The sequence below is a fragment of the Homo sapiens genome, chromosome 11 (assembly GCF_000001405.40).
Source record: "Homo sapiens chromosome 11, GRCh38.p14 Primary Assembly".
NCBI lineage: Eukaryota > Metazoa > Chordata > Mammalia > Primates > Hominidae > Homo > Homo sapiens.
The window spans coordinates 110,342,330-110,355,722 of record NC_000011.10 but is presented as its reverse complement, the minus strand read 5'-3'; the positions used below and the strand labels follow the sequence as shown (position 1 = coordinate 110,355,722).

The 13,393-nt window shown below is 42.7% G+C and overlaps 1 long non-coding RNA gene across 1 annotated transcript in view, besides 3 other annotated features; it reads right to left on the bottom strand.

Annotated features, from left to right (window-relative positions):
* The window catches only part of LINC02732 (long intergenic non-protein coding RNA 2732), a 51,795-nt gene extending 51,186 nt beyond the window's left edge, over nt 1-609 (bottom strand). The window contains exon 1 of the long non-coding RNA NR_135100.2: nt 205-609. This is a non-coding gene — a long non-coding RNA (long intergenic non-protein coding RNA 2732). The remainder of the gene's footprint in view (nt 1-204) is intronic.
* Nucleotides 5,627-6,156: an enhancer, noted in NCBI's record as "active region_5502". NCBI's record gives its function as "activates an Ori minimal core promoter by ATAC-STARR-seq in GM12878 lymphoblastoid cells {active_cell/tissue: GM12878}" and the evidence as "EXISTENCE:reporter gene assay evidence [ECO:0000049][PMID:35858748]".
* Nucleotides 6,757-6,806: an enhancer, noted in NCBI's record as "active region_5501". NCBI's record gives its function as "activates an Ori minimal core promoter by ATAC-STARR-seq in GM12878 lymphoblastoid cells {active_cell/tissue: GM12878}" and the evidence as "EXISTENCE:reporter gene assay evidence [ECO:0000049][PMID:35858748]".
* Nucleotides 9,692-9,751: a silencer, noted in NCBI's record as "silent region_3890". NCBI's record gives its function as "represses an Ori minimal core promoter by ATAC-STARR-seq in GM12878 lymphoblastoid cells {active_cell/tissue: GM12878}" and the evidence as "EXISTENCE:reporter gene assay evidence [ECO:0000049][PMID:35858748]".

The following is a 13,393-nucleotide window of genomic DNA, read 5'->3' as shown; positions in this document are numbered from 1 at the left end:
AATTAAAAAGTAATTCATATAATTCTATAAATGAGACCAGTCATTGTTCTCACTTGGTATTTTACAGCCCAGAAACAATTATAGCAATTATTTGCTCAAGACTGCTCAGCTAGTATGTGGAGGCAAAATTGAAACCCACGTCTTCTGGCTCTGCTCTTTACACCTGCCCACACGACCTCCCTACCCAGCACTACATTAACTCACCTTCCGCCACCTCACTGTTCAGTTTTACTAAAAGTTCCAGCTCTTTCCAAAGGAGAGATTTTTCTTCCTAAGTAAGACAGCTCTTTCAGCCAGTTTCAGATGATATGCCTTCTAAAAGGCAGTGTCTCTTTTGGTTGCCAAAGGTAGTCACTTGACTCTTTTAAGATCACAGATTCCATGTGCCGGGTCCATGCTGAGGGCTGGCAGCCTGTCTGTGTCACACAACCCTCTATTGTACTCTTATCCCTCCTAGCCGACTCCGACCCTGTGTTCCATGAGGAGGCACACGCCTTCACTCCCTTCCCCCACCACAGGCTTTTCCTTCTCCTGCCAGGCTGGGAAGGACTTTATCCTTTTTCATAAGTGCTGAGCCTGTAGGACTCAAATCCCCTCAGGCATCCTTGATTTTTCTCAAAAGTCCTCATGCAAATTTGACTCTCCCTATCCTAGAGATTAGGAGACCTTGACATTTTTATTTTTGAATCTCTTGGAGCCAAGCATAAGCTGACACATCGTTAGCACTCTTAAATGTTTGCTGAAAAAAATGTGGATAAAAGGAAGGAAGGAAGGAAGGAAGGAAGGAAGGAAGGAAGGAAGGAAGGAAGGAAGAAAGTAAAGAAGGGAGGGAAGAGGGTTTTACATATCATTCTAGAGTTCCCGAAACAGACATAACAATGCAGCCAACTCACTAGCTCCAAAAGCACTTGAACAATATTTATACATTTATCTATTTATCAAACTATCTATATCAGAAAAATATCAGAACATATTGATAACTGACAAATCTCTTTCACTTTAGTCTCAGAAGTCACGTTTAAATGCTAAGTGAATATCTGTGTCAGGGAAAGAGAGAGCAACAGAGAAAGAGAGAGAGAGAATGAGTTGGGTTTGGACCATGAAAGACTGATTCGGTCACCCAGTCTGATTCTGTCACCCAATTTGGAGTGCAGTGGTGTAATCACGGCTCACTGCAGCCTCGATGTCCCTGGCTCAATGGATCCTATCACTTCAGCCTCCAGAGTAGCTGGGACTACAGGCATGAGCCACTGCACCTGGCTAATTTTTGTATTTTTTGCAGAGATGGGGTTTTGCCATGTTGCCCAGGCTGGTCTCAAACTCCTGGGCCCAAGCAATTCCCCCACCTCAGCCTCCCAAAGTGCTAGGATTACAGGGGTGAGCCACTGTGCCCAGCCCGTAATGATTAATTTTATGTGTCAACTTGACTGAGCTAAAGGATGCCCAGATAGCTGGTAAAACATTATTTCTGGGTGTGTCTGTGAGGGCATTTCTGGAGGAAATCAGCATTTGAATTAGTAGACTGAGTAAAGAAGATCTATTTTCATCCAGTCTGTTGAGGGCACAGATAGAACAAAAAGGCAGAGGAAAGGTGAATTCACTGTCTGCTTGAGTTGAGCCAACCATCTCCTGATGCTGTAAGACATAGGAGCTCCTGGTTCTCAGGCCTTCAGACTCACTGAATTAAATCACTAGCTTCCCTGGTTCTCCAGCTTGCAGATGACATATTGTGAGGCTTCTCAGCCTCCATAATTCTGTAAGCCTATTCCCATAATACATCTCCTATCATCTATCTATCTATCTATCTATCTATCTATCTATCTATCTATCAATCAATCATCTATCATCTGTTTATCTATCTATCTTATTAGTTTTGTTCCTCTCGAGAATCCTAACTAATACAGAGATTAAAAGCCCCAACTTCTTTTACACAGCCATGCCTCCAAGCTGCTATGTGACCCTGGGTAAATCACTCTCAGGGTTGTTAAAATGGAGGTAATTCTTATTTTTTGTTTGCTTGTTTGAGACAGGATCCCACTCTGTCACCCAGGTTGGAGTGCAGTGGTGGTGATGACAGTTCAATGTGGCCTCAATCTCCCAGGCTCAAGCGATCCTCCCACCTCAGCCTCCCAAGTAGCTGGGACTACAGGCATGTGCTAGCATGCCTGGCTGTTTTTTTTGTTTTTTCGTTTTCAGTAGAGACAGGTCTTGCAAAGTTTCCCAGGCCAATCTCGAACTCCTGAGCTCAAGCAATCTTCATGCCTCGGCCTCCCAAAGTGCTGGGATTACAGGTGTGAGCCACCGCACCTGGTTAAAATGGAGGTAATTCTAAAGGATATCTTACAAAGTTGTCATGGACAATAACTACAATGCATTTTAAACAATGTTTAAAATAATCCATGAAAGTAATTATTGTACTATCCCAAATTTTCACAATATTTAAAGACTGGATCTTAACATTTGAATTTTTTTATCTGTACCTTCTTTGCCTCAACTAACTAGAATTCATGACTTTTGGCTATGCAGGCATCATTCCTATTAATTATATTTCTGAAATTGCTTTGGAATGTTTCTGGTCTCTCTGGTCCCACGGCAACTGCTACGCTTTTTACTCTTTATTTATTTATTTATGTTTTTATTTTAGAGACAAGCCTGGAGTGTGATGCTGTCCAGGCGGGAGTGTGATGGTGTGAATTTGGCTCACTGCAGCCTCAAACTCCTGAGCTCAGGTGAACCTCCCACCTCAGCCTCCCATGTGGCTGGAACTACAGGCACATGCCACCATGCTTGGCTAATTTTTGTGGGGTTTTTTTGTTTTTTGTTTTGTTTTGTTTTGGAGACAGAGTACCATTCTCTCACCCAGGCTGGAGTGCAATGGTGCAATCTCGGCTCATTGCAACCTCCACCTCCCCAGTTCAAGCTATTCTCCTGCTCAGCCTCCAGAGTAGCTGGGACTACGGATGCACACCGCCACACCTGCTAATTTTTTTTGTATTTTAGTAGAGACGGGATTTCACCATGTTGCCCAGGCTGGTCTCAAACTCCTGACCTCAGGCAATCTGCCCGCCTTGGCCTCCCAAAGTGCTAGGATTACAGGGACATGCCGCCACACCTGGCCATACTTTTTGTATTTTTTTGTAGAGACGTGGTCTCACTTTGTTGCCCAGGCTGGTCTTGAACTCCTGAGCTTAAGCAATCCTTCTGCTTGGCCTCCCAAAATTTTGAAATTACAGTCACTGTGCCCAGCCCCCTACTCTTTTAATAATTCTCACTTAGGTGCAATAGCCTCCTAACACTTATACCTACCTCATTCTCCATTATGTCTGGACATCCTAGGACATTTAAATAAATTCAGGCTGCCCATGTCATGGATCTATGATAATATATAAAAGCTCAGCTTTTGGCTGCAGCTATTTTGGCTCTATTCAATATTCTCTGGTCTTCAATCCCTTGGCTTTCTATTCCAGCTCCTGATACTGGTTAGAGACTCTTCTTTCTGTGATTACCTGGGTGGACATGCTTCTTTTTTACTCTGTGCATTCTCTCTGATCTAACATTCTCGTTCATAAATTCTTCATATCTGCAACTGTGGGTAACAAGTATTTTCACTGCCCCAGTCTGGCCGTGATAGACTCACTGTAGCCCACCAGCCCAACCACCCTGAGAAGGAGATCAGACAAAATCTGTCATTAGAGTGATCATTCCAAATCTCAGATTATAACATGGTAGTCTCTGATTCCAGTGCCAACAACAAAATGTCAGTGTGGTTATTCAATGTTTTGTGACTTGGCTGGGTAAAGGCACAAAGGATCTTTGGCAATAGGTGGCTGGTGGGAAGAAAAATGGAGTCCTACTCTTTGGGATCATCCACTACTGGAATGGAAGGTGGGCTAGGAGGAACTGACCAAGCTACAAAGGCTGACCGTGGAGATGGTTATTTGGTGAATCAAGGGTAGGAGAGCTTAACAGTCCCAGCTGCCAATCTAGAAGTTTTTAGTACTGCCATGATGCCAGAGGGTGACGGTAATAAGTTAGGATGGCAGCAAATTACACTCTTCAATTTTTTACCCTAGAAAGCATGCATATAGCCAGGTGCAGTGGCACGCACCTGTAGTCCCAGCTACTTGGGAGGCTGAGGCAGGAGGATTGCTTGAGCCCAGGAGTTTGAGACTAGCCTGGGCAACACAGCAAGACTCACATCTCAAAAAAAAAAAAAGCATGCATATTAATCCTTGTTGCTGACTCCATTCATTCCTTCAATAGTTAAGCACAAACTCTATGCAAGGATTTGTATTAGGCACTGGGTACACAACAGAAAAGGAAAGCCAGCACAGTGACCTCCTTGGTAAGTTTTGTCAAATAACTTGGCATGTGCCATTCTTCTTTATTGTGTTGTCAGTGTTAGAATGGGTTTTGGACCAGCGAATGGGGCTTCTAGCCAGTGCATTTATACAAACAGTTCTCAGATGTGCCACAAATATGTGGCCAACATAACATTACAGCCCCCATTCCTGCTTAGGAATAATGACAGTTTTTTAGTAAATGACATCCTTTAAAGGCAAATTACACATATTGGTGGTTTCTGGATGTTTTAAGGTTTCCACGTAGTTTTTTCAACTGACAATCCCTGTATAGGGATCTTGGAGAGTTAATCATCACACCACAGTTTTCAGCAATACACTCATATGTTTATACTGACAGTCAAGACATGTTGGTGGCCCAAAATGAAATGATTACATTTTGTAGAACCTCCTTCCCATAGGAGGAGTGGTAACGAAAATGTCTCTGGAGAAGAAACTAGTTCATATCACTCAGAATTAATGTCCATCCAGAAAGAACACATACAAATAAAAAGATATGTCATATTCTTGGCTTGGAAGACACACATTGTAAATATGTCAGTTTTCTCTGAAACTGATCTATAAATTTTTTACAGCTCAATAACAATTCCAAAATTCTAATGGAATTCTTTTGGAACTTGGCAAAAAATATTAAAATTTGTCTGGAAAATAAAAATATGCCCGAATAGCCAAGAAAATTCTAACACAGAAGAATATTAGGGAGAGCTTTGCCAGTTATTTAAACTGCAGTATTTATTGCTGATATACTGCTGCAGGAATGGACAGATGATCAATAAAACCAAATAGTGAGAACAGAAGCAGATCCAAATACAAATGAGATTGGATTATATAATAAAGTGGGGAAAAGAAACACATTATTCAGACAACAGGCTAGTCATTTGGAAAATGAATAAAGTTGGTCCCTACCTTGAACTTCCAGATGGAATAAAGATTTAAATTTGTAAGAAATTATAAAGTACTACAAAGTTAGGCCAGGTGTGGTAGCTCATGCCTGTAATCCTAGCACTTTGGAAGGCTGAGGAGGGCAGGTCACTTGAGGCCAGGAGTTCGAGACCAGCCTGACAAACATGGTGAAACCCTGTCTCTACTAAAAATACAAAAAATTAGCCAGGCGAGGTGGTTGGTGCCTATAATCCCAGCTACTCGGGAGGCTGAGACAGGAGAATTGCTTGAACCCAGGAGGCGGAGGTTGCGTGAGCCAAGATTGTGCCTCTGAACTCCAGCCTGCATGACAGAGCCAGACCCTGTCTCAAAACAAAGAAACAAAAAAGTAATACAAACTTTCAGATGAATTTTTAAATATAATTTTTAAGTGAAGGAGGACTTGAGGCCTGACACTTGGCTGTTCAGGCATCAGATTCCCTACCTTTGAGGGAGGAATTCCCCACTGTGAGTGATTGTGGCGTGACAGAGCGCACTGTCTCCTGGAGCTGGAGGAGACCCATTCTACCCCAGCCCACACATACGGCCTTGTGGAAACTCCCTGTGGCTTGCTGATTAAAGAAGAAAATGTTCAAGACTAGTTTCCAGATGACTCTTCCCTGGTCTAAGGACACTAGCACAATTAGGACTATTGTTGCAACTTTCACCCGCTTAGGGGCGGCCTTGAAAGACAATTGAGAAGGAAAATCTTCCCAGGGGCAGAACTCTAAGCAGTACATCTCATGATCCACCTTCCTGGAAGGAGAAATGACCTTAGGATTTAGAATCCAAAGGGACAAAAAAAAAATGTTTCAGTCAAGGGACATATTAAAGAGCTCACTGAATAGGAAAGTGAAACTCTTACTTTGCCACTTTTTGGCAAACAGAAAAGAACGTCTGGGTATAGACTGGGTGATTAATTCTGAGTATAAAAGAAAAAGAGTTATTTCAGCATAATAGGAGAAGAGAGGTGACCCCAGATACATTTCCTCAGTCTCCCCAGCCAGGATGCTAGTAACAAGACATAGGCAGGACTGCTGAGGACTCAGATTCCTTGGAAATGAAAGTTTGGGTCACTCCAAGAAGTAAAGAACTCTACTAGCTTAACACCAAGTTGAGAGCAAAGAATCATTTTTGTCATTTCAAAGACAGCACAAATGCATTTTGGCTTATGAAACCCAGGAAGCAGACTGACTAATTTTGACTTGTCACTATCGCCCCATTTTAAGCACAAGGCCTGTTCACATTTCAGAGAATATATGTCTTCTTGTTCACTGATAACTCTGCAGAGGAAGTCTATAACATCTGCTGTTTTTTTATCCTGTTCTCTCTTCAGCCTCCTTCATCTCTGCCTCCTAGGCCTTGGAATGAACTCTCCAACTCTTTCTCTTTCGTAGTCCCTCAATTCACCAGGTGTTTCCCACCTCTGTGCACTTGCGCCATGAGCTCTTCCTCCACCCTCTCCCTCCATGGCTGCTTACTGACTGCCAATTGAGATTCACCCTGACAGTCCCCTCTGAAGCCTCACCAGTGTAGGCCCAACAGAACTGACCACTTCCCCCTTACTTCTGTCAGAGTACCTATAATACTTTATTGGCATTATAGGTTTGCATGTTTGTCCCTGCTTAGCAGACTTCTTACTTATTTACCTATTTACTTTTGAAACAAGGCCTTGCTCTGTCACCCAGGCTGGAGTGTTGTAGCATGATCATTGCTCACTGAAGCCTCAAACTTCTGGGCACAAGGGATTCTCCTGCCTCAGCCTGCTTGGCAGCTGGTACTGTCAGAGGCATTTGAACCATAGCAACTCCATCTAGAATAGGAGCTAGGTAAAATGAGGCTGAGACCTACTGGGCTGCATTCCCAGACAGTTAAGGCATTCTAAGTCATAGAATGAGACAAGAGGTCGGCACAAGATACAGGTCGTAAAGATCTTTCTGATAAAACAGGTTGCAGTAAAGAAGCCAACTCTTAGGCAGGGCACAGTGGCTCATGCCTATAATCCCAGCACTTTAAGAGGCTGAGGCAGGTGGATCACCTGAGGTCAGGAGTTTGAGACCAGCCTGGCAGATGTGGTGAAACCCCATTTCTACTAAAAATACAAAAATTGCCAGGCGTGGTGGCCCACACCTGTAATCCCAGCCATTGGGAGGGTGAGACAGGAGAATTCCTTGAACCCGGGAGGCAGAGGTTGCAGTGAGCCAAGATTGTGCCATTGCACTCCAGCCTGGGTGAAAGAGCGAGACTTTGTCTCAAACAAACAAACAAAAAAAGAAGCCAACTCTAACCCACCAAAACCAAGATGGTGATGAGAGTGACCTCTGGTTGTCCTCACTGCTACACTCCCACCAGCACCATGACAGTTTACAAATGCCATGGCAATGTCAGGATGTTACCCCATATGGTCTAAAAAGGGGAGGCATGAATAATCCACCCATTGTTTAGCATATAATCAAGAAATAGCCATAAAAACAGGCAACCAGCAGTTCTCGGGAATATTGCCATCTATAGAGTAGCCATTCTTTTATTCCTTTACTTTCTTAATAAACTTGATTTTGCTTTGCACTGTGGACTTGCCCTGAATTTTTTCTTGCGCAAGATTCAAGAACCTTCTCTTGGGGTCTGGATCTGGACCCATTTCCTATAATAGTACTACAGGCACAAAACAACATTCCTGGCTTTTTTTTTTTTCTTTTTTTTGGTAGAGATGGGGTCTCACTATGTTGCCTAAGCTGGTCTCGAAGTTTCGGGCTCAAGCAATCCTCCTGCCTTGGCCTCCCAAAGTGCTGAGATCACAGACATGAGCCACTGCACTTGACCCAGATTTACCTTTACAACCCTTGGCACAGAGACCAACCAGCACATAGTAGGCACTCAGGGATGCTGAAGACTAAACTAATGAATCGCCAGTGTCAGAGATGGCAATAACATTGAGAATGAGTACACTTTCAGGCATAGACTTTAAATGGAACAAATAATCCTCTAGGTTTACCTTACCCTGAATAACTAAAGCTTATATTCACAAGTACTTAGAGTGAGAGCTAATTCTGTCTTCTAGAACATGTAAAATATAACCATTTTTCAGACCCAACATTTAAGAGGGAAAGGTCAAGTCAGCTTCCAGGCCTGTGAGGCCAAAATGAGAGTAACAGCCAATTGGCCCTTTTCTACCTTTGGCTGTGACTGTGTGACTCTCCTCTCCCTTTTCTGTTCTAAGGGTGGGAGGAAGGTGCACGAGCACACGAGAGTCTTTAGTGCAGTTTCCAGGGTTTGCAGCTTCAGGGATAATGAAGGTTTGGAGGAGTTCAGTACTATTGCTGTATGTCACAGTTTCCATTTTTGTTAAAATCTTCAATCACTCACAGACCAAGTTCTTCTTCTATTTCCTAACATTTTCCCTAGGTATGATAATTTGCATGGTAAACACACTGCATATTAATAGCATTCGAAGTCACAGGATGAGATAGGAGGTCGACACAAAACCTGTTTTGCTGATAAAACAGGTTGCAGTAAAGAAGCCAACTCAGGCCAGGTGCGGTGGCTCACGCCTGTAATCCCAGCACTTTGAGAAGGCAAGATGGGTGGATCATGTGAGGTCAGGAGTTCGAGACCATGGCCAACACGGGGAAACCCCTCTTTACTAAAAATACAAAAATTAGGCAGGTGTGGTGGTGCGCATGTAATCCCAGCTCTTCAGGAAGATGGGACAGGAGAATAGCTTGAACCTGGGAGGTGGAGGTTGCAGTGAGCTGAGATTGTGCCACTGCACTCCAGCCTGGGAGACAGAGCAAGACTGTTTAAAAAAAAAAAAAGAAAGAGGAAGAAGAAGAAGAAAGAAGAAAAGAAGAAGAAGGAGGAGGAGGAGGAGGAAGAGGAGGAGGAGGAGGAGAAGAAGAAGAAGAAGAAGAAGAAGAAGAAGAAGAAGAAGAAGAAGAAGAAGAAGAAGAAGAAGAAATAGCAGCCAACTCTAAGCCACCAAAACCTGTTTCTCAGAATTCTGAGAAATGTTCATTATTCTTTTTTGTTTCTCAATTATGTTTCTCCCTTTCCTCAGGAAGCCAATTTTTATCCTCTGTCATTGTCAGGAGTGTATTTAACATGACAGAAGTCCTGTGACCTCTTCAAATGTCCCTATTTCCTCCTGAGTATATTCCAATCATCTCTGTGTCTGGTTGGCCTAATTTTAATTATGATTCCACTGGGCATGTGGCTACTCAGTCTACTTTTCTGTTCACTGAGCCAGATTTTCAATCCACATACTCAGAGCAAATTACGTACCACCGGAAAACTACATTAAAACTTTTGGGATAGTGCAGGCTATTTTATGCACTAAAGCAGTAATTTACCAAATGTTCCTTAATGATCTGTGAAAAAATTGCCATGTTTTTCACGATATTGAATGCGCTTCCAGGAAGTTAGGCAAAGGGAGAATCTGACCTAATGTGAACAAATGAGTAATCTTAGCTCTTACCTTTCCTAAAATCAATACTATTACCTAATTCAGTGAGCATGCACAGGAAACATACTCAAACGTACAGGACCAGCTCTTGAAACACTGACACATTTTGGTTTCCTCTCTCAAGAAAACAACCTAAGGGGAAATTCTATTTCCTTCTCATGGCTTCTCTCAAAGTTAATTCTTTACACACCAAGTAATAGTTATAACATGCATGTATTTCTAAATCTCAGGTTACCAAATATAAGATTTTTTTTTGAGAAAACACCTTTGAAGACAGGGGTATAAGACTGGGCTGAAAATAGGAGGGTTGGTTGAAAGGAGCAGTTTATCCACTCAGACCTCCTCTTCTGTTCTATGACCGGTCCCTCACTTCTTTTTTTTTTTTTTTTTTTGGAGACAGTCTCACTCTGTTGCCCAGGCTGGAGTGCAATGGTGCAACCTTGGCTCACTGAAACCTCTGCCTCCCTGGTTCAACCATTCTCCTGCCTCAGCCTCCCAAGTAGCTGGGATTACAGGTGTGTGCCACCACAGCCAGCTAATTTTTCTATTATTAGTAGAGATGGGGTTTCACCATGTTGGCCAGGCTGGTCTCAAACTCCCGACCTCAGGTGATCCACTGGCCTCGGGCTCCCAATGTGCTGTGATTACAGGCAACAGCCACGGCGCCCAGACATTTCAGATGTTTCTTGTACATGCTGACATTGCCTTGAAACACTTACACCAAAATTTTAAAATTTGAAATGTTAAAAGTGAATATTTCTCAAGATAAAATAGAAGAGTGGTTCTTTGATGATGTTATAAATCACTTTCCCATCCCCTTAAAATCACCACTGAATCCTCACTCTACAACCTCAAGAGAAATCCTCACAATCAATTCCTTTGAAATTATCTGAACAGAATGGAATATTCCACAAATAATTATGGAGCGTTTGCTATGTGCCAGGCACTGAGACAAAAAAATCAAGATAAAATGATGACTAAAAGAGACATCCTTACTTCCATAAAATTTACAATACAAGCTGGGGAGACTGATAGAAACAGATCTTCATAGAATGGACATCTGATCAAAATTGTGAGGGTTTTGACCCCAGTCCTCGGCTGAATCTATTCTTCTCAACGTCACTACTGACCTTCATAGGGCTGAATCCACTGGTCAGATTTTGGTCAATCTTAGCTTCTTAAAAGTAGTTAATACAGGCCAGGCGCAGTGGCTCACGCCTGTAATTCCAGCACTTTGAGAGGCCAAGGCGGGTGGATCATCAGGTCAGGAAATCGAGACCATCCTGGCTAACACGGTGAAACCCCGTCTCTACTAAAAATACAAAAAATTAGCCAGGTGTGGTGGCAGGCGCCTGTAGTCCCAGCTACTCAGGAGGCTGAGGCAGGAGAATGGCGTGAACCCAGGAGGCGGAGCATGCAGTGAGCGGAGATCGCACCACTGCACTCCAGCCTGGGTGACAGAGCGAGACTCCGTCTCAAAAAAAAAAAAAAAAAAAAAAGTAGTTAACACAGTAGAGTCACACTCTCCTTTTCCAAACATTTCTTCAACTGACTTGCAATTCTGTGGTTTTAGATGCTTAAGAGTCCTAAATTCATATTTTCAGCCTAGCCTAAATTTGACACATCTTTATCTATCTGCCTACTCAACATCTCCTCTCAGTCAGCCAATAGGCATCTCAAACTAAACATGTTCCAGACTGAATTCTGAATTTCCTTCTCCACTTGTCACAAATCTACTGCTCTCCCAGTGCTCTATATTTTATTAAACGTGTATTAGTTCGTTTTCATGCTGCTGATAAAGACATACCCGAGATTGGGTAATTTATACAGGAAAAGGGGTTTAATGGACTTACAGTTCCACATGGCTGGGGAGGCCTCACAATCATGGCGGAAGACAAGGAGGAGCAAGTCGCCTCTTACATGAACGGCAGCAGGCAAAGAGAGAGTTTGTACAGGGAAACTCCCCCTTATAGAACCATCAGATCTCATGAGACTTACTCACTATTATGAGAGCAGCATGGGAAAGGCCTGCCCCCATGATTCAATTACCTCTTGGGGGTCCCTCCCACAACACATGGGAATTCAAAATGAGATTTGGGTGGGAACACAGCTAAACCATACCAAATGGAACCTCTTCTAATTCAGCTGATCAGGCCAAAAATCCTGGAATTGTTCATAACTTTTCTTTCTTTCCTAGTCCGTGTTCAACTTACCAGGAAATCCCACTGGATTTACTTTCAACCTATATCACAATTTTACCATCTCTCTCCCACTACCTTCATCACTACTATCTCAGTTCAAGGCACCATTTTCTACCATTTGGATCTTTCCCGTAGATTCTCAAATGATCTTTTGGATTCCACTCTTTTGTTTTATTCTCCATACAGCAGAGAGAGCTTCATCAATGAGATCATGTCATTTCCTTGTTTGTATCTTTTCAATGGCTTCTCATCACACTTAGGGTAAAATCCTTACCATGGCACATAAGGCTTTGCATGACCTGGTCTTCTGCCTCTCTGTTCACCTGCCTTCCTAACTCATCTTACTATTCCTTGAGTTTTCTCTGTACTTTCCCACGTTGGGAACTTGGCATTTGTGTCCCTCTGCCTAGAATATTGCTCACCTCAATATCATCATGGCTCTCTTCTTCAGTTTACACACATCTCCATTCAAATATTAACTTTTCAGGGAGGCCTGCTCTTATTACGCAGTCTAAAACAGCACTCCCTCTACCTCTTTCTCTCTGTCCTCTTGGCATGCTTTATTTTCTTATTGCCCTCTGACATTGTGCGCACGCGCGTGTGTGTGTGTTTTTACTATATGTCTCTCTTATTAGGATGTAAGATTCAAGAGGACAGGAACTTTTGTCTCATTCACTCTTGTACCCCCATGCCTAGAACAAGGAGGAGTGCCTGGCAATTGTAAGTAGGTACTCATCAACTGCAAGTTGCGTAAATGAATGTAATGAGGGTATAAGGGAAAACTGCAATAACATATCAGACACGGAACAAACCTAGATTGGTATCATTAAAGGGAGTGAAGAAAGTTATGCCTTCTGGTAAACTTTTTGGAAATGAAAACTCCAGCTACACAAATGTAGATAGCAGAGTTCTGTAACACTCTCAAGACAGTTGCACACCCCTCATTCTGAGTGGACCTATTAGAGGTAGGCATAAAAGCTTTATCGAGGCCAGGTGCAGAAGCTCACACCTGTAATTCCAGCACTTTGGGAGGATGATGTTGGAGGATTGCTTGAACCCAGGAGTTTGAGACCAGCCTGGGCAACATAGGGAGACACTACAAAAACAAAATTAATTATTTTTATTCATTTATTTATTATTATTATTTTTTATAGAGATGGTCTATGTTGCCCAGACTGGTCTTGAACACCTGGGCTCAAATGATTCATTTGCCTCAGCCTCCCAAAGTGCCAGAATTACAGGAGTGAGCCACTGCACCCGGTGCCCACAAAAAAAATTTTTTTAACAAAAAAAGAAAGTTTTATTGAAGAAAAATGTTTTTTTGTGCATAGTTTGATTTTGCTTTTTCCCAGAGAAATTTCACCAGCAAAATCTCATTTATCTGCGGAATAGATCTGTTAGGTAGTTGGACAAGAAAGATGAAAAGAAAAGGAGCCAGGTGCGGTGGCTCA